At 45.7% G+C, this 21,252-nt stretch overlaps 1 protein-coding gene across 3 annotated transcripts, besides 3 other annotated features; it reads right to left on the reverse strand.

Moving 5' to 3' along the window:
* On the reverse strand, positions 5,985 to 19,677 carry GLUL (glutamate-ammonia ligase). Of its 3 annotated transcripts, NM_002065.7 has the most exons (8): positions 19,566 to 19,677; positions 18,384 to 18,739; positions 16,459 to 16,637; positions 15,018 to 15,179; positions 14,143 to 14,289; positions 13,647 to 13,774; positions 13,244 to 13,443; positions 5,985 to 12,610 (listed from the first exon to the last, which is right to left on the reverse strand). In NM_002065.7, exons 3-8 carry the CDS (start codon positions 16,622 to 16,624, stop codon positions 12,292 to 12,294), a joined length of 1,122 nt encoding a protein of 373 aa, NP_002056.2. In that variant the 5' UTR covers positions 16,625 to 16,637; positions 18,384 to 18,739; positions 19,566 to 19,677; the 3' UTR covers positions 5,985 to 12,291. The 3 variants fall into 3 exon arrangements, with proteins under 3 accessions (NP_002056.2, NP_001028216.1, NP_001028228.1); NM_001033044.4 differs by lacking the exon at positions 18,384 to 18,739; NM_001033056.4 differs by lacking the exons at positions 18,384 to 18,739; positions 19,566 to 19,677 and adding an exon at positions 19,062 to 19,228.
* Positions 9,061 to 9,355: a silencer, noted in NCBI's record as "tiled region #13543; HepG2 Repressive non-DNase unmatched - State 18:Pol2, and K562 Repressive DNase matched - State 14:Gen5'". NCBI's record gives its function as "represses a minimal TATA promoter and a strong SV40 promoter by Sharpr-MPRA in HepG2 and K562 cells {active_cell/tissue: HepG2 | K562}" and the evidence as "EXISTENCE:reporter gene assay evidence [ECO:0000049][PMID:27701403]".
* Positions 13,551 to 14,750: an enhancer, noted in NCBI's record as "CDK7 strongly-dependent group 2 enhancer chr1:182354799-182355998 (GRCh37/hg19 assembly coordinates)". NCBI's record gives its function as "activates an origin of replication core promoter dependent on BRD2, BRD4, P300/CBP, MED14 and CDK7 cofactors, with strong dependence on CDK7, by STARR-seq in HCT116 cells {active_cell/tissue: HCT116}" and the evidence as "EXISTENCE:reporter gene assay evidence [ECO:0000049][PMID:35650434]".
* Positions 19,413 to 20,092: a silencer, noted in NCBI's record as "silent region_1618". NCBI's record gives its function as "represses an Ori minimal core promoter by ATAC-STARR-seq in GM12878 lymphoblastoid cells {active_cell/tissue: GM12878}" and the evidence as "EXISTENCE:reporter gene assay evidence [ECO:0000049][PMID:35858748]".

Genomic DNA, 21,252 nt, shown 5'->3' on the forward strand with positions numbered 1-21,252 from the left:
TGAACTGGATAAAGGAAAGTTACATAGATGGTATCTGGTGAAGCAATCACTATTCATAGAACATTGATTCTAACCTGAAAGGAAGACTTTTGAAGTTTTGCAACAGAATGTTCTATTGACCTGTGCCCCCATTCAGCTTTTTGTCATTTACTTGATTGAATAATTTATAATAATGCACTTAATAATCTATCAGTAACTCAAAGAGAGAGAACCAAGGTAAATTCAGAAAGATCACAATGGCCTGAAAAAGATGTACCAAATTAGCAGGATAAAATTTTATGAGGATAAACTTTAGATCCTTATGATGTCCCAAAAATCAAGAGTGCAAGTGGACAGATGCTGGATTTAAGAGCAATGTATCCTTTCTTTCAGGATTTTAATAGGACTGCAAAGGAACAGGTGTGATAAGACTTCAAATAAGTCAGTGACATTTTTATGTTAATTAGAAATTTGGTGTCTTCTGAATAGGCATCTGCTTCTTCTGATGCCTATTCAGAAAAGACCCTGTCTTAACAACAGCAAAAAAGACCTTTCACCAGCCAGCTCAGCTCTCATTCCTGTAGATATTTTTTGGATTATCAATCCGGAGAATAGTTCCCTAAGACTGGTCTTATGGGTGTAACTTCTGAATAGACATTTGCTTAGCCTTAGAGAACTGGCCTTTTAAAGAACTGGGTTGACAATCCAGAGAATATCTAGAGGAATGAGAGCTGAGCTGGCAGGTTAAAGATCTTTTTTTGTTGTTATTGAGACAGGGTCTCACTCTGTCACCCAGGCTGGTGCAATCATGGCTTGCTGCAACCTCAATCTCCTGGGCTCAAGCGATCCTCCCACCTCAGCCTCCTGAGTAGCTGAGACTACAGGTGTGCACCACCTCACCTGGTTAATTTGTTTTTTTTTTATGGAGATGAGGTCTTACTATGTTGCTCAGGCTGGTATCCTCCTGCCTCAGCCTCCCAAAATGCTGGGATTACAAGCATGAGCCACTGTTCCCAGTGAAGGTGAAAGATCTTGAAGTCATGATGAAACAGAAGTAACTGAGAATGTTTAATCTGAAAAAACAAAAAGGACTCAATGGAGATGTGAGTCCTGTCTTCAACTCTCTCAAGGATTGCCATGTGAAAGAAGCATCAGGCTTGGTCTGTATAGTTTCAGAGGGCAAAATAAGGATAATGGCAAATGCTACATAGAGACACATATGACCTCATCATAAAGAAAATCATAAAGCAGTTCATAAATGGAAAGGGCTTCCTTATTATATATTGACCTCCCTGCCTTAGAGGGTTTGAGCATATATTGGATGACCACCTAATAGTGCAGCACTATACAGCAAAAGATTCTTTACAAAAGATTCCTAAACAAACAGAGTGACCTGGAGACAAGAGATTCTTAACCCCAATCCCTGGTTGAGCTTCAGGGAGACTTTAAACACACTGAAATTATATTTAAAGCATATTTTCAAGAGAGAATATTTGTGGCTGTTTTGTTTTAACCAGAGTATCAAAGAGGAGAATAACCCAAAATAAGTTTAGGGTGACTGACCTAGGATGACTTTCAATTCTGAGATTCTAGGATTAAAATTCATACACCAGGCCGGGCATGGTGGCTGTAATTCCAGCACTTTGGGAGGCCGAGGCAGGTGGATCACCTGAGGTCAGGAGTTTGAGACCAGCCTGGCCGACATGGTGAAACCCCATCTCTACTAAAAATACAAAAATCTGTTGGGCGTGGTGGCACGTGCCTGCAATCCCAGCTACTCGGGAGGCTGAGGCAGGAGAATCGCTTGAACCTGCGAGGCGGAGGTTGCAGTGAGCCAAGATTACACCACTGCACTCCAGCCTGGGTAATAAGAGCGAAACTCTGTCCAAAAAAAAAAAAAAATTAACACACCAACATCTTTGAGCACCAACAGCCAATGAAATTTCCATTGAGCATGCACTGGTGGGAAAAGAAGATTCTTTATATGCTTGAAACATTAAATAGTGAGTTATGTTCTTCTGAAATACAGAATAGGAGAAAGGCCTCAGGTCTCCAGGCTCTTTCGTGCTTCCCCATTCACCAGCCTCCAGACTCATATAGTCAGCATGGAGTTGTGATGAAGGCTGGGCAGATGGAGGCAATGTCATTCATGTCTGTTTGCCTTCCACCAAGAACTGTCAGTGCCACACCATGCCAGGCAGCTGCTGCCTCCAATAGGGATTCCTGCAGGATGCTGGCACTCAGCTAGCTCCTCCCAATAGTGTGAGCTGAAGACCTGATGCCCAGCTAAAATGAGGGAAGAAGAACTTTTCAGGTAGCATATCCTGTCCACTAGAGCCCAAGAACATATGAACAGGCAGTAGAAATTACATAGTCTCACTCTGTCTCCAGTCTTGCCTCCATTTTTTTTCTCTTTCCCTTCCACTTCTCCGGTCTTTCTCTCTCCTTCCTAATTCTCTGTTTCTTTGTTCTCCTCCCCATTCCCCTCCCCTTCTGCTGTGACCTCTAAGTTGGCTCAGCATCATTGTTCAAGATGTTGGTTATATAACACGGCTTATGAAAGCAAAAGCAAAATAATATGCTGCCTGCCATGCCAGGTGAAACCCAGCATGAAAAGAAAATACTGGTACGCGGCACTTCTGGGCTTTTTTGGGCTATGAGGAGGATCAGCTGAAGAGAGCTTAGATGTTCCATGTGCACCAAACTTCAGATCTCTCTTGAGACTAACTCACCCAGATTTGGGAGCATTTCAATTTTTTTTTTTTTTTTTTTTTTTTGAGACAGACTCTCACTCTGTCACTCAGGCTGGAGTGCAGTGGCACGATCTCGGCTCACTGCAACCTCCACTTCCTGGGTTCAAGCGATTCTCCTGCCTCAGCCCCCTGAGTAGCTGGGATTGAAGGTGCCTGCCACCACACCTGGCTAATTTTTGTATTTTTAGTAGAGATGAGGTTTCACCATGTTGGCCAGGCTGGTCTCGAACTCTAAGTTGTTTTTAGAGTTCTAAGGTGATCCACCTGCCTCAGCCTCCCAAAGTGCTGGGATTACAGGTGTGAGCTACCACACCCAGCCATTTTTTTTTTCGAGGCACAGTCTCACTCTATTGCCCAGACTGTAGTACAGTGGTGGGATTACAGCTCACTGAAGCCTCCATCTCCCAGGCTGAAGCCATTCTCCTGCCTCAGCCTCCTAAGTAGCTGGGACTACCATACTCGGCCCATTTTTAATTTTTGTAGAGATGGGGTCTCACTATGTTGCCCACGCTGGTCTCAAACTCCTGGGCCTAAGTGATCCTCTCACCTTGGCCTCCCAAAGTGCTTGGATTACAGACATGAACTGCCACACCCAGCCAAGAAGATATTATTAAAGGACTTATGATATTAAAGGAATCAAAGGAAACCAAAACCTTTCTCCCTAGGATAACACTTTAACTTTGACTATTTTCTCAGGGCCAAACTGCTCATTGTGGTAATTTAAAGATAGTTCCACAAATTCTTTGATACCTCTTCCTTCAAGAAATGGAGCTTTCCCTTCCCCTTGAATATGGACGAAATTTAGTGATTCACTTTTAGCAAATGAAGTATGGTAAAAGTAATGGGATGTCCCTTCCAAGATTAGCTTATAAAGGAACTGAGGCTTCTCTCTCTCATTTTCTTCTTTGGATCACTCACTCCGGAAAAAGACATGGCATGGGCAGCGCTATGAAGAGGCCCACATGGCAAGGAACTGAACCCAGTCAGATCTTCAGAGACTGCAGCCCTCACAGTCTGGCTGCAACCTGCTAAGAAACCTCAATGCAAAAGCACTCGGCTAAGTCACTCCCAGATTCCTGATCCTTCAAAATTGTATAAGATAATAAATATTTCTTATTTTAAGCTGCTACATTTTGGGGTAATTTGTTATGCAGCAACAGATAGTACACTTGTGATGCTTTTATTTATTTATTTATTTATTTATTTATTTATTTATTTTTGAGGTGGAGTTTCACTCTTGTTGCCCAGGCTGGAGTGCAATGGCGTGATCTTGGGTCACTGCAACCTCACCTCCCAGGTTCAAGCGATTCTCCTGCCTCAGCCTCCTGAGTAGCTGGGATTACAGGCATGCGCCACCACACCTGGCTAATTTTGTAGTTTTAGTAGACACAGGGTTTCTCCATGTTGGCTAGGCTGGTCTCGAACTCCCGACCTCAGGTGATCTGCCTGCCTCGGCCTCCCAAAATGCTGGGATTACAGGTGTGAGCCACCACACCCAGCCGATGCTTTTAAATGATATATAAACCCTCAGGGTTAGAAAGTGCTGGGCTGAGTTACCTGAGGATGATGGTTATATAGCTTTAGGACTCCTAAAGCACAGAAGCCAGAGCCCTGGAACAGAGAGAAATGGTTCTTCCTAACCTGAAATAAATGTATGCTAAATCATTTTATGATTAAATATTCCTATCACTACTAATATAAAATGCTGCCTCATATGCCCCTCCCTACCCCTCCATGACACCCAAATGCTGTGTTAAAATATGGCCAGGCATGTTGGCTCACACCTGTAATCCCAGCATTTTGGGAGGCTGAGGTGAGCAGATCACCTGAGGTCAGGAGATCAAGACCAGCCTGGCCAACATGGTAAAACCCCGTCTCTACTAAAAATGCAAAAATTAGCTGAGTGTGATGGTGCATACCTGTAATCCCAGCTACTTGGAAAGCTAAGGCAGGAGAATCCCTTGAACCCAGGAGGCAGAGATTACAGTGAGCCGAGATCACGACACTGCACTGCAGCCTGGGCGACAGAGCAATACTCTGTCTCAAAACAAAACAAAACAGCTTGTTCATCTTTTTCCAACTTCTCCAACACTGAATTCAGCTGTGAACCTTGATGACAAATAACCAGTCATAAGTTGGAGGAGCTCTTTTACCCTCTAAGGTAGCACATTTAACCAAAAACTGCTTAACTTCAATATTGGGTGTGATGGTTCACAGCATAAAATTCCAAATTTGGAAGGAATTTTGGGGATGTCATAGCTTATCTCAGGCTGATTTTGTAAAGAATGGTGTCAATTCCTGGAGGAGTGAATCACTTAATGACACAGATAATCTAAGTATATTCCCAACCATCCTCTTCCAAGAGAAGGGAAGAACCTGGAAACTCAGCAGCTTCCAGGACATAGCATTTCAGATGACCACCCCAAAGGCCCTGCATTTGGCATCAGGAAGAGGAGGATATTTCTGAACTAAGTAATTTGGAATTTACTGCAGGAGTGAGGCAGCTCATACACAAACCTTTAATACCTATGATTAATACTATGATTAATAGGCCTCACACCCCAGCCTTCTACCTACTTTCTTTAGCCAGTGACATAGTAGTGACCTTTCTCTGATAATGTAAACAACAAACATTTATTGAAGGCTTCCTTGGCTAAGTGCTATGCCATAGCAGTATTTATATAAAAATGTTAATAGATTGGTAGTTTCTGGATCTTAGGCCCACCTAGGAATGAGCCTGGTGGTAGATTGTTTGAAGAGATGGATCCTCTCTTGCAAAGGAAGCTCTGGAAAAGTGCATTCTCTTACTGTACTGTCTCTCTAAATTTAGCTAATTAGATCACAGGTTCCTTCCCAGAGTCCAGGCAAGTGTTCACTTCTTCCAAAAAACGAAAAAAGGAATCCTTTTCCCTCTCCTCCCACAATGTGATACTACATTTCATTCTGTAGCCTTATTTAAACAGTTACCAAAACAGCTCACAAAATCATTTGAGAATAAACTGGGATACATAGCAATGGGCCCAGGAGTCCCCTTCCTTTTGGTGCTGCCAGTGACAACCTTTAGCTATAAAAGGAGGGTCATAAAGGAGACTTGACCATTCACTTGACCACCCCTCATTCATATGCTTTCCCCAACACACCAAACTAGTGCCTATTTGACCCCCATTTCATTTGATTATTAATTTTTTCACATCTTAAATGCTGATTCAATTTACTGTCAATAGAGGAGTAAAACAGAGTCACAGAGAAGGAGTTATTCTAAACCTTTATTGAAAGGCAAATGCAGAAAGCCTTCAACACAGAGGATAGATTTAGTGACTGAGGGCCCACTGGAGTTTAACTAATAGATCTGCTGACTACGCCGTACAGTGGAGGAAACACGCTGCAATCTCAAGACAATGCAGGTAACTCAATCTGAAATCCATCAAAAAGAGGACAACTTGCTCAGGTACAAGGCCCCTGAAAAGTAACTCATCAAATGACAATAGGAACTGTGTGGACACTCCCTCTGTAACATGCACTAGGATATCACTCTCCTATATTAGAGGAGCTCCAAGCAGTGTATCATGCTCAAATATTTATTAATTGACAGTGTCCGACAACCTCCTGTCCATAAAGCATGGCAGAGTGGGTAATTAATTGGAAAGAGTTGGCAGTAGAACTTTAAGAACAATTATACCTTCTACATCTTACCACTCCCCATTCCTAGTGACAACTTTCTCATCTCGGCGAATTCTCTTGTGTACTGTTTCTGGAACATATATTACTAAATTCCTGTCTCCTTTACAAAATGCTGTATCTTGGGCAAAAGACATATGTATTGTGCTTGTATTGTGTATCTAATGTGTACATATATGCATATTCTCACAAATATGGTATACATTTATATTATGCATGTGTATGGACATATATCTGCATATTGTAAAATGAAATAGAATTTTTTTTTTCTTGAGATGGAGTCACACTCTGTTGCCTAGGCTGGAGTGCAATGGTGCAAGCTTGGCTCACTGCAACCTCCGGCTCTTGGGCTCAAGCGATTCTCCTGCCTCAGCCTGCCACTCGGCAGGGTGGGATTACAGGTGCTCACCACCAAGCCCGGCTAATTTTTGTATTTTTAGTAGAGATGGGGTTTCACCATGGTGGCCAGGCTGGTCTCAAACTCCTGACCTTAAGTGATCTGCCCACTTTGGCCTCCTACAGTGATGGGATTACAGGCTTGAGCCACCATGCCCGGCCTGAAGTAGAATTTTTTTAAATGAACGGTCGGAGATCGAGCTAAAGGCTATAAAATGGCAGGGTTCTAATCAGCTCAGATTGTTTTCAGTAGAAATGTACGCAAAGTCTTTGGAGTTAAATGATGAACTGCCACTTATTTATTTATTTATTTGTTTATTTTTTGATATGTCTCACTCTTTTGCCCAGGCTGGAGTGAAGTGGAGTGATCTTTGCTTACTGTAACCTCTGCCTCCCTGGCTCCAGCGATCCTCCTGCCTCAGCCTCCTGAGTAGCTGGAATTATAGGCACCCACCACCACATCTTGCTAATTTTGGTATTTTTAATAGAGACAAGGTTTCACCATGTTGGCCACGCTGGTCTCGAACTCCTGAACTCAGGTGATCCACCTGCCTTGGCCTCCCAAAGTGCTAGGATTACAGGCTTGAGCCACCACACCCAGCCTAAACTGCCAGTTTACATCAGTTATAATTTTTTTTTGTTTTTTTGAGACAGGGTCTCACTTTGTTGCCCAGACTGGAGGGCAGTGGCACAACCATGGCTCACTGCAGCTTCAAGTAATCTTCCCACCTCAGCCTCCCAGGTAGCTAGGACTACAGGTGCATGCCACCACGCCCAGCTAATTTTTCGTATTTTTTGTAGAGATGGGGTTTTGTCATGTTGCCCAGGCTAGTCTCGAACTTCTGAGCTCAAGTGATCTACCTGCCTCGGCTTTTCAAAGTGCTGGGATTACAGGTATGAGCCACCATGCCCAGCCTCAGTTACAACTTTTTTTTTTTTTTTGAGATGGAGTTTCCCTCTTGTTGCCCAGGCTGGAGTACAATGTTGCAATCTCAGCTCACTGCAACCTCCGCCTTCCAGGTTCAAGCAATTCTCCTGTCTCAGTCTCCCAAGCAGCTGGGATTACAGGCATGTGCCACCACGCCCGGCTAATTTTTTGTATTTAGTAGAGACACAGCTTGTTTCACCATATTGGCCCGGCTGGTCTCAAACTCCCGATCTCAGGTGATCCACCTGCCTCGGCCTCTCAAGGTGCTGGGATTATAGGCATGAGCCACTGTGCCTGGCAGTTATAACTCTTAAAGCAACACAAGGCTCTTGGTAGCCTGATTACAATGAGAATTAATTAAGTACACTATTTTCCACAGTACACTCCCACGAAGTTTTTAGTGCTGCCATAATGTTTGTAGTAAAAAGAATCAACATTTTCAATTTGTTTTTTGGGGTTTTGTTTGTTTTGTTTTGTTTAGGCAAGGTCTTGATCTGTCACCCAGGCTGGAGTGCAGTGGTGCAATCACAATTCACTGCAGCTTCAATTTCCTGGGCTCAAGTCATCCTCCCATCTCAGCCTCCTGATAGCTGAGACTACAGGCGTGCAATTTAAAAAAAAATTATTTTGTGGAGTCTGGACCTCACTACATTGCCTAGAACGGTCTCAAACTCCTGGGCTCAAGAGATCCTCCTGCTGCAGCCTCACAAAGTGTTGGGATCACAGGCGTAAGCCACTTCACCTGGCCTTGATTCTTTTTAAGCTCAATAAAAATGGAACTTTGTCTTGCTGTCATGGCCAGAGTTAAAATACAGTCAAACAACAAAGACCTCATAGAGTTAAAGCTCACAAAACTGATACTTAAAAATAACTTATTAAATAAGTATTGCAGGCACTACAACAGGTCTCAAGATACAGTGGTGAGCAAGAAAAACAGGATCTCTTGCTTTCATGAAGTTCAACTAGAAAGTCCTGTCGAATGATGAGACATCTTTCTTTGGGGCAGCAAGTTACTTTCACTTAGTGGTAAAAGGGCCAAGAATAGTTCAGGAACTTCTCATCCACTTGTCTACCCTTCTACACAGACAGCAGCACAGATCTGGCTTTTTACATGGCCCTAGGCCGGGTGCAGTGGCTCACGCCTGTAATCCCAGCACTTTGGGAGGTGGAGGAGTTCAAGACCAGTTCAAGACCTCACTTTGGGAGATCAGGAGTTCAAGACCAGCCTGGCCAACATGGTGAAACCCCATCTGTACTAAAAATACAAAAATTAGCTGAGCATGGTGGTGCACACCTGTAGTCTCAGCTACTTGGGAGGCTGAGGCAGGAGAATCGCTTGAATCTGGGAGGCAGAAGTTGCAGTGAGCCAAGATTGCGCCACACTATACTCCAGCCTGGGTGAGAGTCAGACCCCGTCTCAAAAACAACAAAAGGCCCTAGACAACACCCATCCATGGAATTCTTTCAAATTCCCTATAGCTTGTGCTATCAGTTGTTATTTAGTACCTGGCAAGATGATATTAGGGGAACTCATATTTAAGGAGTTCATGGAGACCTCCTTTTGTAAATACTGGCCTGACTCCTTAAGGTTGAAAGCTTGGTCATTATTCTGTTTAATCTATCACTGATAAAAGTTATCACATAACCCATTGTCTGCAAATGAACTATAAAAAACACCTTAGAAATACAAGGGGATTGCACTGTGACCTGTAGGTCAAAGCTAATTCTAGGTGAGAGGGTGAAGAAACAAATATGCTGGTTGTTTTCACCTAAATTCTGATCCTATGAATTTAAAATTCCTTCTCATGCAATCATTTTGTCATGGAATTGATTACAATGAACAAAATCCAAAGTGCTCAGGTCACTGCCTCTTCAGTTTAGTGCTTACACTGTAGGATACACCATCCAAGAGGCTGTAAGGGTGGCCAAGCAAAGGGAAGACAACTTCAGTTGGGGGGGTGGAAGCACAGATTCAATGGAAATAAGGGTATACATCATTTAACAACAAAATCAAGAAAATGCTAAGGATGAAACAGGGTACTCAACAATCATGCTGAAACAGGCATAAACTAGGACCACGCCAGCAAGCTAATAGGTAGATGACTCTACTTTGAATATTAAATCATATTACGAGCCAACTTTCTTAAGAAAAACCACGGATATCTAGGATTACTTGACTAGTGTAAAATACACAGTTGCCTGAAGAACTTATCTCTAAAAACTATCACAGGCCCCAGCTACCTCGCACTGGTAAGAGTATACTGCCTTTTAAAAACAATCACTATTGCCCACATTATTAGTAGTATTAATGCTATTAATAATATTGCACTCCAATGTGTCCAATAATTGCTTTTTGCTAGGTATATGCACAGCATCATGGGAGCCGGAGGGAGCTTTTACCCAACCTCATGAGGAATGAACGAAGGTAGGAATTGGCCAAGATAAGGTGGAAGAACTCCCAGATACACGGACCAAGATAAGAGCAAGGGGCAAGGGCACAGGTGACAACACAGAGCTTTTGAGAATCACAATCGGTCCACTGGTCTTCCTGCAAGGCAAGATACACCCAAGGATGAGCCCATGCCTAGGGCATAGCCAGCCTTGGAAGGCTTCAACCAGGGTAGCAGGGTAGCTAATATTTGTTTCTTATCACTGAGAGCAGAGAATAGAAATCGTAAAGCCAGTTAATCTTACATTATGTTAGGCTATTGTATTAGGCTAGGAATGGTCAAAACAATGTTATGGTAAGCCAAAACCAAACTCAGGGGAGCAAAGGAAGGGGGAGGAGTGGGGCTTGTACCCTGCTACAAACCTCTAGGCTAGGAAATGCCAAGATTGTGTGTAACTAAGTCTAGGTGAAAAACTTAATCCCTTAAGTCCCAAATACCCAACTTAGAGAGGTACAGGAAACGGCTGGTCAGCAACATCACTCCAGTGTTTTAAAAACTCAGAGTACATAAACTTGAGCTTATTTTGCCTGTTTTAGGAAATAAAGAAATATAATGGCACATAGGGATTTGAAAGAATCACAAACACATCAGAGAGATCTTATGTTAGGCTGATTTATAAGTGCTGCTTTGGGCAGTTACACAGTTTGTTTACAATGAGGAGTTATTTGACTTTGAACATACTGTACATGGCAATTAGAAGTTGTCATGGCAAAAGAAAACCACAGCTGGCCTGCCACAGCCAACACAAGAACCAGAAAATGGTAGATGAAATGAAGGAATAAAGGTGGGGTTTATTCCTTATTATAAAAGAAAAAAAATAATTCTTCAGCAGTCTTAACAAAGACATCAAGATACAAAATTACAAGTGTTTTGACTCCAGCCCTGTCCCCATCTCCTCCAAGAGCAGAGGTAGGAGACAGTTGAAGCAAACAAGCAATTCTGTAAAAATTACCTAGAAACCCTACAAATTTGATTAAAATCTAAACTTCTATAATTTTGCTTTTTAAAAAATTTAATATCAAAAGGCCTGCTTTAGTGACATGCTATTCCTACCAGAAAATAACCCCAATACCCCCTCTGTCAGTAACATGCTCAAGTTGACCAGCCAACTCTTATCTCTAAACCTATGTGGACAAGTGTGTCTTTTAAACCAAAGCCACGGAGATCAAGTGACTGCTAGTAACGTGTTGTCTGTTAACTAATCCAGTGCCCACCTTCTCCAGAGGGTGGGCAGGGCAGAAACCCAAAAGGGTCTTGAGGGCCTAATCCCAGATCACCATCTAAGAACCACTTCCCTTGCTCTCTACTCAAAATGAGATGCTTTATTTCTAATCCGACTATTTGTCTCAAATTTGGTGCCCCGTGACCTGGATGGTTTTTTCCTTTAGCAAAACACACATAATCCACAAAACCATACATATAGTTTTTTGTCTTTACATTTAAATATAAAAATACTATTCTGCTTTGTGTGATAAATCAAGGACCAAGCAGTAAGAACCTTTTCTTCTTTCAAGGTAGGGATATCCATCAGTTTATACTAAGCTTCGTGTTCAGAGCAGGGCATTTAGTCCCAAGCCAGGCTAGTCCCACAAGCAAGAGACCAAAGCCATTCTCTCTGATTCCCAACCCCTACCTTCTCTCCTAATTCCCACTTTTAATAGAAAAGTTGGTTATAACTTTTTAAGAAAAGTTTCCACCACGAGGGCAAGTCCTAACCTAACCAGAGTACGTCAGGTCTTCCCCTTTCAGCTACCTGGAAGAAGAGACCCCCTTCTGCAAACGTGCTCTGTCCGGATAGCTACGCCTATTGGACAGGTGCACCCCATTAAATGGAAGCAGTGGTTATGTCTCCCCACCCTCCTCCCCACTAATGCACTAAAAAGCTTCAGTGATAGGGAAAAAAAGGAGGGTAGGTGTGAAGAAATTAATAACTTGACCCCTCTATCCCAGCCAAACAAAGAAAGCAAGATTAACTGGGCACATGGAATGAAAAAAACGACCTTGATATTCCACCCTTTGAGTTACAATCGGGACAACTGGGAGAGGGGGAAGAGTTGGAGTGGGATGAAGAACTAGGAGGGGCTCAACAGCTGGAGGTCTAGTCCACTTAATTTTTGTACTGGAAGGGCTCATCGCCGGTTTCATTGAGAAGACACGTGCGGATGAGGGCTTCTGTCACCGAAAAGGGGTCGCAGTTGGCAGAGGGGCGACGATCTTCAAAGTAACCCTTCTTCTCCTGGCCAACAGTCCGGGGAATGCGTATGCTGGCGCTACGATTGGCTACACCAGCAGAAAAGTCGTTGATGTTGGAGGTTTCATGGAATCCAGTTAGACGTCGGGCATTGTCCAGGCCTCCCTTGGGATCATAGGCACGGATGTGGTACTGGTGCCGCTTGCTTAGTTTCTCAATGGCCTCCTCGATGTACCTAGAGTAAACAGAAAAGATGGCAGTCCAACCTTGTCTCCAGGTATGGAGCCAAGAATGAAGTGCACCAAAATATGATACCAGTAGAACAAATACTTCATGAGGGCAGTGGCTGCATCTTCTTACCTGTGTGTCTCAGTGGTGAGAACAGTGCCCGACAAGCAGTACAAAGTTACTGTTTGTTGAAAAGACTAATCATTTGAAACTTTCTCCCCCTCATAAGCATTAAGCTTATCCACATGCCTGTATTGTTACTAATTTAGTTCTAAAAGATTTTCAAATGCATGAATTTGTCAACTTTTCCCTGTCACCATGACATATGTCACAAATATATATATCGATATATATTTATATAATGATATATGACTAATATATATTATATAAATTATAACAAATATTTATCACTGTGAATCAGAAGTATTATTTGGTATTTTTCAAATAGGAACAAAATGAGAGAATGTGAAGGCAAGTGTCAACACCTAAAGTACGTCCAGACTGAGAAGTCAAGTTTACTCATCTTTGGCAAATATTTGCAAGTCATCCTGCAAAGGAGACTTTGCTGAGAGATTGCTAAGTCTCCTCCCAAGTTTTCTGCCACAGGAGATTAAAGATGGCCCCAGCAGAAGGTACTCACTTCAGACCATTCTCCTCCCGCATGGCCTTGGTGCTGAAGTTGGTATGGCAGCCTGCACCATTCCAGTTCCCAGGAATGGGCTTAGGATCAAAGGTTGCTATCACTCCAAAGTCTTCACACACACGATGCAAGATGAAACGGGCCACCCAGAGATGATCTCCCATGCTGATTCCTTCACAAGGTCCAATCTGAAATTCCCACTAGAAACGAGAAGCTTGGCCATTAAAACAAAGCTAACTGCTCACTCCAACTCAGAATCTCCTAAACCTGTTCTCTTCTCACCTGTACTCCAACCCGTTCTTAGGTTTTGGGTTAGTGAGTGGTGTATCAGCAGCCCTTACTAGCAAAAGTCCTATGTACACCTACCTACCCTTCTTCATTGATGGATTGGAGCTATACTTACCTGGGCAGGCATGACCTCGGCATTAGTCCCCGCAATCTTGACTCCAGCATACAAGCAGGCCCGGTAATGGGCCTCCACGATGTCCCTGCCATAGGCTCTGTCTGCTCCCACACCACAGTAATATGGACCTACAGAAGCATCAGGACAAAACACTAAGAGTCAAGAAATCCAGAGAATCCCAAAGTCAGAGATCAGAAGGCCCTTAAGCCTTGCCCTCTTGAATCACTATCCTTGCCTTCATCTGCAGGTGCGGGGCAGGGGAGGGGCAATAGGGGAGTTCCTCTTCACCACAGCTTCAGTGGGGCCAAACGTTCCCCCTAAAACCTTACTTTATATATTCATATCCATTTTTGGACTTTGGTGATGTGAGGGCTGTTTCGCCTTTACTGTATTATTTTGCTTCTTGATTCTGAAAGTCATTCCCATCCCTGGGAAGGGGCATTCCTGCACAGTTAGACACTTCTGGGAATTTCACCTCTAACCCAAGGAGACTTACCCTGGGGCCCTGGGAAGCCGTTGGAAGGCCAACCAAAGGGGTGCCCATCTGTCCCCATGAGGGTATACTCCTGCTCCATGCCAAACCAGGGGTGCTGGTTGCTCACCATGTCCATTATCCGTTTACAGGTGTGCCTCAAATTGGTCTCTAGAAAAAAGAGTCAATAATACGCCATCAGGGATCTAAAGACATAGATGCTGAATACCGATGCTGATGGGAGAATAGTCCTTGGATTCTATACAACTGAGGTGTGCACTATGGTATGAACTGACCCAGTATAGGCCTTCTTGGGATCACCGAGTCAGAAAAATGAGAGAAGCTGTTAATTGTACATCTGTAGGAAGACTCTGAAAGACTTCAGTTTTAACTAAACTCAGTTACAACCAAGTCACATGGGAGTGGATTTAGAACAGGGCAACTTTCACCTTATCTGCATTCTGGCCACCTCCCAAGCACCAAATGCCAGGCACTTAACCCTCTATTCACAAGACAGCTGCTTCTGGTTGTCAGATTTATTCTTCATTTCTCAGGCACTTGGAGCCATTCTATAATTTTTGAGAAACATTTGTCCATTGGTTTACATTTGTCCTGGCCTACATTCCAGGCAGGAAGGCTGTTACTGGGGACTCCAAGACCGGCAAACAGATCTGGACAAATCCAATGCTATTTTATGCAACCAACAGAGAAGACCATAGAAAGATGGGCCATATTATCTCTTCCTCAAAGCAGAAGTTCAGGGAAAAGAATCACTCAGATTCTTAAAATAGTGCTGAAATTGCCTAGTCTTCCCAATGCTGATTTCAGAATGTCTTCTCCCTCCCCTTCACAGCATTCACAGATTGAGGAGGGGTATCCATAGCTGTGCTATAACACACCTGCAGGCCTTCGATTGTACTTGAAAACTTCACATAACACCAGCTTGTTAGGGTCCTTACGGAAGGGGTCCCGAAACATGGCAGCAGGCACGAGATACATGTCACTGTTGGAACCCTCAGACTGTAAAGTACTAGAGCCATCGAAATTCCACTCAGGCAACTCTGGGGCAAAAAGAGGGAAAATTACATTTAAAACATACAGGAGCTTTCCAAGCAATGCAAATACAGCCAGCCCTTCACTCACCTTCCCATCTCTAAATATCTCTTTTCCAGGAATTCATTAAGGTATAAATGCCATCATTAATATGTATACCCTGGCACCTGTACCTGATCTTATAGCCCTTCCTATTTGAGTTCCAAGTAAGACCATTGTACCAATTCCTTAAAAGAAATATATCAGATACTCCCTTCCCAAATGTCTTCCAGGAGACAAGCTGAAGCATTCTGTTATCACTACCATCCTATCAATCACTTAAAATATTGAGATAGTGAAGGATTCTGATTCTTCCATTAGGTAATGTGTTGCATCCTTCTTATGCCCCCAGTGTATTCTGGCAAGTTATGTCCTTATTTTATAGATGAGGGAACAGACGACTAGCAGGATGACTTACTCTAGGATGCTCCCTTATCACCTATCCACCTTTCCCACTGTTTTGAAGGCTGCTTGGTCTCTCTAGCTGACTGAGTTCTCTGAAGGCAGAGACGAGACTCTCACTTTGTATCTTCAGTGTCTGTGCACTATCATCTGCCACATAGCAAGTACACAATATAGGCTTTGTATTATGATCATTCACTTACTCAAAAAGGAAAAGTAAACTACCCTAAACTAGGTAGGATATGATACTTTCCTCTGGCCCCTTTCCAGAAGAGGGAAGACTATGGCTTGTTCTAGACTGAAAAATGAAGGTCACAACTATAATCTAACTGTAGCTCCTAGAGGGATACGCAATTAGTTTAAGAATTTCCAAAAGTGGCATCAACTAAAAATTAGTCCTATTTAAAAACCATTGTAGAGCATTTGCTTCACATCTAGAAGCCAGTGATATGAGTATTAAACACAGTTTTCTAAGAGTTTGTAAACTAGATGGCATTCTCAGGTTAGAGCAGTGGTTTTCTGAGGGTGCCTTAGAGCCAGCTAAGTGGGGATGTCCAGGTCGGCAACCTCTAAGCCCCATGCCAACTCTCCATAAACCAGACTTAGTTTTTCTTCAATACACTGGCCTACGTGCACAATTCCATTGAAATAAAGGGTTCCATCGTCGCTCTGCTTTGAGGCAGTGTAGGAGCTTAATGTTGACTGAATAAAGTCTGAAAAGCCCTGCCTTAGAAAACCTTTACAAACAGAAGAAAGAGGCCTAATCCAGAGGCTGAGTCAAAGGCTGCTGCCCACCCCTCTGCAGATCCCACCCAGCATGTGCTCCACTCCACATTGCTGTCTCACCTTCCACACACTTGGGCTCACTGTCCAGGGTCCGGGTCTTGCAGCGCAGTCCTTCTCCAGTACCATCGATCCAGATATACATGGCCTGGACTTTCTCACCCTGAGGCAGGGACATGTACACCTGCTTGATGCCTTTATTTAAGTGGGAACTTGCTGAGGTGGTCATGGTGGAAGGTGTTCTGGAGAAGAAAAAAAGAATAACATTGTTAACGCCCACTCCAAACTGATCCCCTGCAAAAATGGCTCAAGAAGGACGACTGAATCAAAAGTCAGAGTGTAAGTGCCAACTCCTTCCCTTGTGGAAGTCAACACACAAAAAGTTATGTTTACTCACTCTTTCAGGGGGATTAGTTTTATAGTAGGCAAAAATCTCCTTTATAATAGGCTGTAAAACTGATCACCACCTTTTGAAACAATTAACACAGATGCCTGCTAAAGAAAAGATCAGGCCCTTGGTAGTAACTCAATGCCTCTGCATCCCTGAGCTCACAGGCTTAAGTTCCACAGCTACTGCAGAACCCAGGCTTCCAAGCTAGAACTTATACTTGTGAGGACTAAGGTCTATTCCTTCAGTGTAGCTGAGGTTAACACTAAACTATCCAAATACTAAACTATCAGAGGAAACAAATCAAAACCAATACACAAATTTACAAAACATAGAACTTCTTCCAATATAAGTAAAATCCAGCCACAGAACAGGCTTGGCTTCCACAGTTTGTTTTTCTCTTTGTCTTTCATCCTAGCTGTGGTCTTAACTCAAACCCACCGCCCCTCCCCACCAAAAGAAAACTCATTACACATTTAGATTTGAGGATGAAACAAGGTTACAATATATTTTTTTAGAAGGCTAGCAGTTTCCTACACAAAAGCTGATTCAAGCCAGATTCTAAGGGGAATGCTGCCATAATTTCCATAGGTCTCATGCAAAGTCTCACTTAAGATAGTGGGCAAGAATCACAACATTATGGAATTCTACAAGACTTGTCAAGTAATTAGGAAATTTCCACTTCTAAATCAAAAAGATCTGGAAATTTAAAAGCCATGAGGCATACTAATAACTGCCAGCCACTACCACAAAACCTCCGAAAGAAGAGAAACTCTCAAGCCACAACAGCCGAAGAGGAAACATTCTCTCTCTCCCTCCTCCCTCCGTGGACCAGGGTGGCTAGAAAGGGAACACATTGTTCTCCTCCAACGACTAGGGCAACGTTCTGAAGTACAGTGGCAAAGTTTCTACGGGCAACCGTCCATGTTTGCCCAGCTGAAAACATAACTGCTTCTCCCTCAGCCTCACCACCCTTCCCCTTGGGGAAGACCAACACCCCAATATTGCCTCTAGAAGACTCAGCCGGCCAAATCCTACTTCCCACCTCCATCCCAGAACCCTTTAGCTCCCGCTAAAAGCTACAACCCACCGAAGCGGGCAGATCACCTGAGGTACAAAGTTCGAGACCAGCCTGGCCAACACGATGAAACTCCCGTCTCTACTAAAAATACAAAAATTAGCCGGGCGTGGTTGTGCACGCCTGTAATCCCAGCTACTCGGGAGGCTGACACAGGAGAATCGCCTGAACCCCAGAGGCAGAGGTTGCAGTGAGCCGGGAGATTGCACCACTGCACTCCAACCTGGGTAACAGATAGAGACTCTGTCGGAAAACAAAAAAAAAAAACCTACAACCCAATTTCTCGGCTGTCCTCTCCAACATGTTACACCACCAATATCATGCACACTTTGTCCTAAGCCTCAGTTTCGGATCTCTTGCTCTTTTCCGTGAGCCGAGTTGCATGCCAGCAGCCTAGTGCCACTCTATCAACTGCTGCTGCTGCGGTGCCAAGTTTACGTGGGGGAAATGGATTCTGAAGTTTTCAGCAGTTTCTGCAGCTCCCACCAACTCCGGGGTCGTCCTCCCTGCCCCCTCACTCACCCCAGCCACAGAAAGTCAAGCGTATCGTTAGGGTTGCCCTCTTTAACCCTTCTCTTTTTGGAGTGGCGTTCGCGCCTCTCCTCTTTCTCAGACTCTAGCTGGTCCAAGCACCGGAGCTTTCTGGGAGAGGGCGATGGAGAAGGGGACAGACAGCGGCCGGCCCGGGGGGTGTCCGAACAGGCAGGTTGGTGGGTTAAGGTCTTAATCTTGACTCGAGATCTCTCCCCGGAGTTCACAGAGTAGGCGACGAAGCCGAAGCAGCTGGAGCGCGACCCGGAGGAGTCTGACTTCTCGTTGTCTTCATAATTTTCATTCGTTGCTTTCTTCGTGGACTTGCGGCTGGGGGAGGATCCCCGCTTCCCGCCCCCGAGGGAGTTATAATTATCCACTTTGAGAGCAGCCCCTTCCCACTGAAATGTCCCTAAAGTGGGCGCCCTGCCCCTCGGGCCCCCGTCCGAATCTCAGGGCCTCACGGAGGTGGCCATACCCTGCCGCCGAGGGGTTGGGGGGTCCGGGGGAGGGTGGGGGCGCAGGCCGTAGGGACTGCGCGCTGCTGCTGCCTCCGCCCGGACCGGCTTCTCCACTGACTGCGCCGAGGCCCGGGCTCTCCATTGTTCGGTCACATTGGAAGGCCCCCGGGACCCCGAGGCGGGAGCCGGCCGCCCAAACAACGCTCACCGTTACACGCCGCAATCGAGGCGTCTCAACCATCGCCAGAACCAGGACGATTGCTCCGAAGGCCCCACCACGAGGAAGGCAGCCAGGCGCCCGCGCCAACCAAGCGCCTTGTTTGCGCTCCACAGGGGACCGCACCGCCACTCCATCCACAGCGCAAACAAACCACTGCGAGCCCCAGGGCGCAGGCCGGCCCAACGGCCTCCAGGGGCGGCGCTTCGGCCGCAAGTAGTGAAAAGAAGATCAAAACAACTCACCCCGCCCTTCCCAGAGCCTGGCCAAGGGCGCGCCCCACCAGCGCCAGCCCCGACGGGTCCAAGCCACCAGCGGCGGAAGCACGCGGGAGGAGCACTCATGCCGGATCTCAGGCATGGGCCGGAGAGGCCGCAGCGTAGGGCTGGGACTGGAGGGGCAGGCAGCCGAAAAAAGAGGCTGGGCGGCGCGCCTCGCGGGGTAGCAGGGGCGGCGCGCCTCGCTTGCGTGACACCGGGCCGTCCGGGGGCTTACCTGGTCGCCGAGCAGGCGGGCGGGTAAAGCTAGGCCGCGAGAGCGAGGTTAGGAGAGGAGAGGAGGCCGCAGTACTGCTCACACGCTCCGCTCTTCTCCCACTCTCGACTCTGCAGAGCCGCCAGCAGCCCCGCACCCTTTATCCGCGGCCCGGGGCCGCCCCCGGTGCCCTGATTGGCTCCCAGCGGCCAGGAGCCCGGGCCGATCAGCTGATGCGGTCCCGGGCCCCGCGGCCATTGGGCGAGGAGCCCGGCGGGCGCCGCTGGGGTGGGGGCAAGCGAACTGGGAAAGAAAGAAAGAAAGAGAAAGGGGCGTGGGGGAGGGGCAGGGCGGCGTGGGGGAAGGGAGCGGAGCCGGGAGGGCTGAGGGCAGAGGGGCGAGTTGCCGCCAGGCCGGGAAGCCTCGGCTCGCCGCCCACCCGCCAGCTCGCCAGGTGCCGCCCCACGGCCCCCAACCCGGGGTCCCGAGGCTCCCAGCAAAGCCCGCCCTGGACCTCTGCCCTGCCGCCTTCACGGGGAATAGTTTTACGAGGAGAGCTCCCTGGGGAAATGCGGAACCAGGGAAACCGAATTTAGCCTTTTGTTGCGAGGGAGCCTCCGAGCCCCGCTTCCTGCGGGCAGGGGTTAGCTTGAGAGGGAGCGCGGGGCGCGGGACCCGAGGGAACTTTGGGCGGGCCTGGGCTAGGGCGGGTGCCGCGCGGGCCTGGGGACAGGCCGGGGTTCCCAAGGCCTGGAAGAGCCGCCCGCTCCGGCTCTCTTGGGTCTGGGGAAATAAACAGAACTCTGCCATTTCACATTTGAAATCAACGTGCTGTTTCTCTAATTTTACAGAGAGGATTCTGGAGGGCGGTAGAAACTAAGTCTGGAGACCTGTCTCATACTGCTGGCCAGACCCTAGGCAGGTCTTTCAGGGCCCAAGTTTCCTCATCTGCAAAATAAAGTGGTCATCGAAAATGACCTGTGGAGCCGCCCACTAGATTTGAAATTCTGTGTGCAAACTGCCCCCGGAGCAGCTGAAAGGAAATCGAGGTGTTCACTTGCCCCCTTTGAAGTCCAGGGATTGTCAAGAAATTCCTTTAACGAATTCTCCCTGATTTTGCTTTATCAAGTGCGGCTTCTTGTTAATCTGGAAAATGGGAATACATACCTCTCCTCTCAGCTTGCCGTGATGGTTGGGAAAATGTGTATGTGAACACAATATTGAAATGTACCTAGAGACACAACATAGGTAGGTAGGTAGGTAGGTAGGTAGATACTGCTATCCGTACTATTACTCGATCATTCTATTTTTAGTGCCTGAAATCTACCTGATGGTGTCCAGATTTTATTGCTTCTTTCAGTTTAAAGAGCAAGAATTTATGCTTCCAGTGCCTTTGGAAGAGGAAGGGAAGAAGTTTGTTCTGGTTATGTTTTGTACCGCAAATGTGGAAAAGAAATGTTGCCTGCAACCACACACACATAACTTGGCTTCTTTGGTCAACATCCCTTTCCTTTAAGAGTGTATAACACTGTAGTGCTTTTACATGACAGATGCAGCATTCATCTCAAACAGGGTTTTTTGGGATGTTTCAGACTGGTGACATTTTGGATTGGGTAAGGTGCCTTACAAATTCCTTGTTAAATTTCAGTGCTGCCCCTTGAAGCATTACATTGTGGTGGCTAAAGGCACGGCTGCAAGTCAGGTAAAC

This window comes from Homo sapiens, chromosome 1, assembly GCF_000001405.40.
Source record: "Homo sapiens chromosome 1, GRCh38.p14 Primary Assembly".
In the NCBI taxonomy this organism is placed as follows: Eukaryota; Metazoa; Chordata; class Mammalia; order Primates; family Hominidae; genus Homo; species Homo sapiens.

Bases quoted from the DNA above. Each gene is read 5' to 3' on its own strand.
- GLUL (NM_001033044.4), bottom strand. From the start codon at position 16,624: ATGACCACCTCAGCAAGTTCCCACTTAAATAAAGGCATCAAGCAGGTG. The intron at 15,180-16,458 runs GTGAGACAGCAA...TTTTTGCCCCAG, and splicing joins TGAGCCCAAGTGTGTGGAAG to AGTTGCCTGAGTGGAATTTC. The intron at 12,611-13,243 runs GTGAGTACCTTC...TGTTTACTCTAG, and splicing joins CGGGAGGAGAATGGTCTGAA to GTACATCGAGGAGGCCATTG.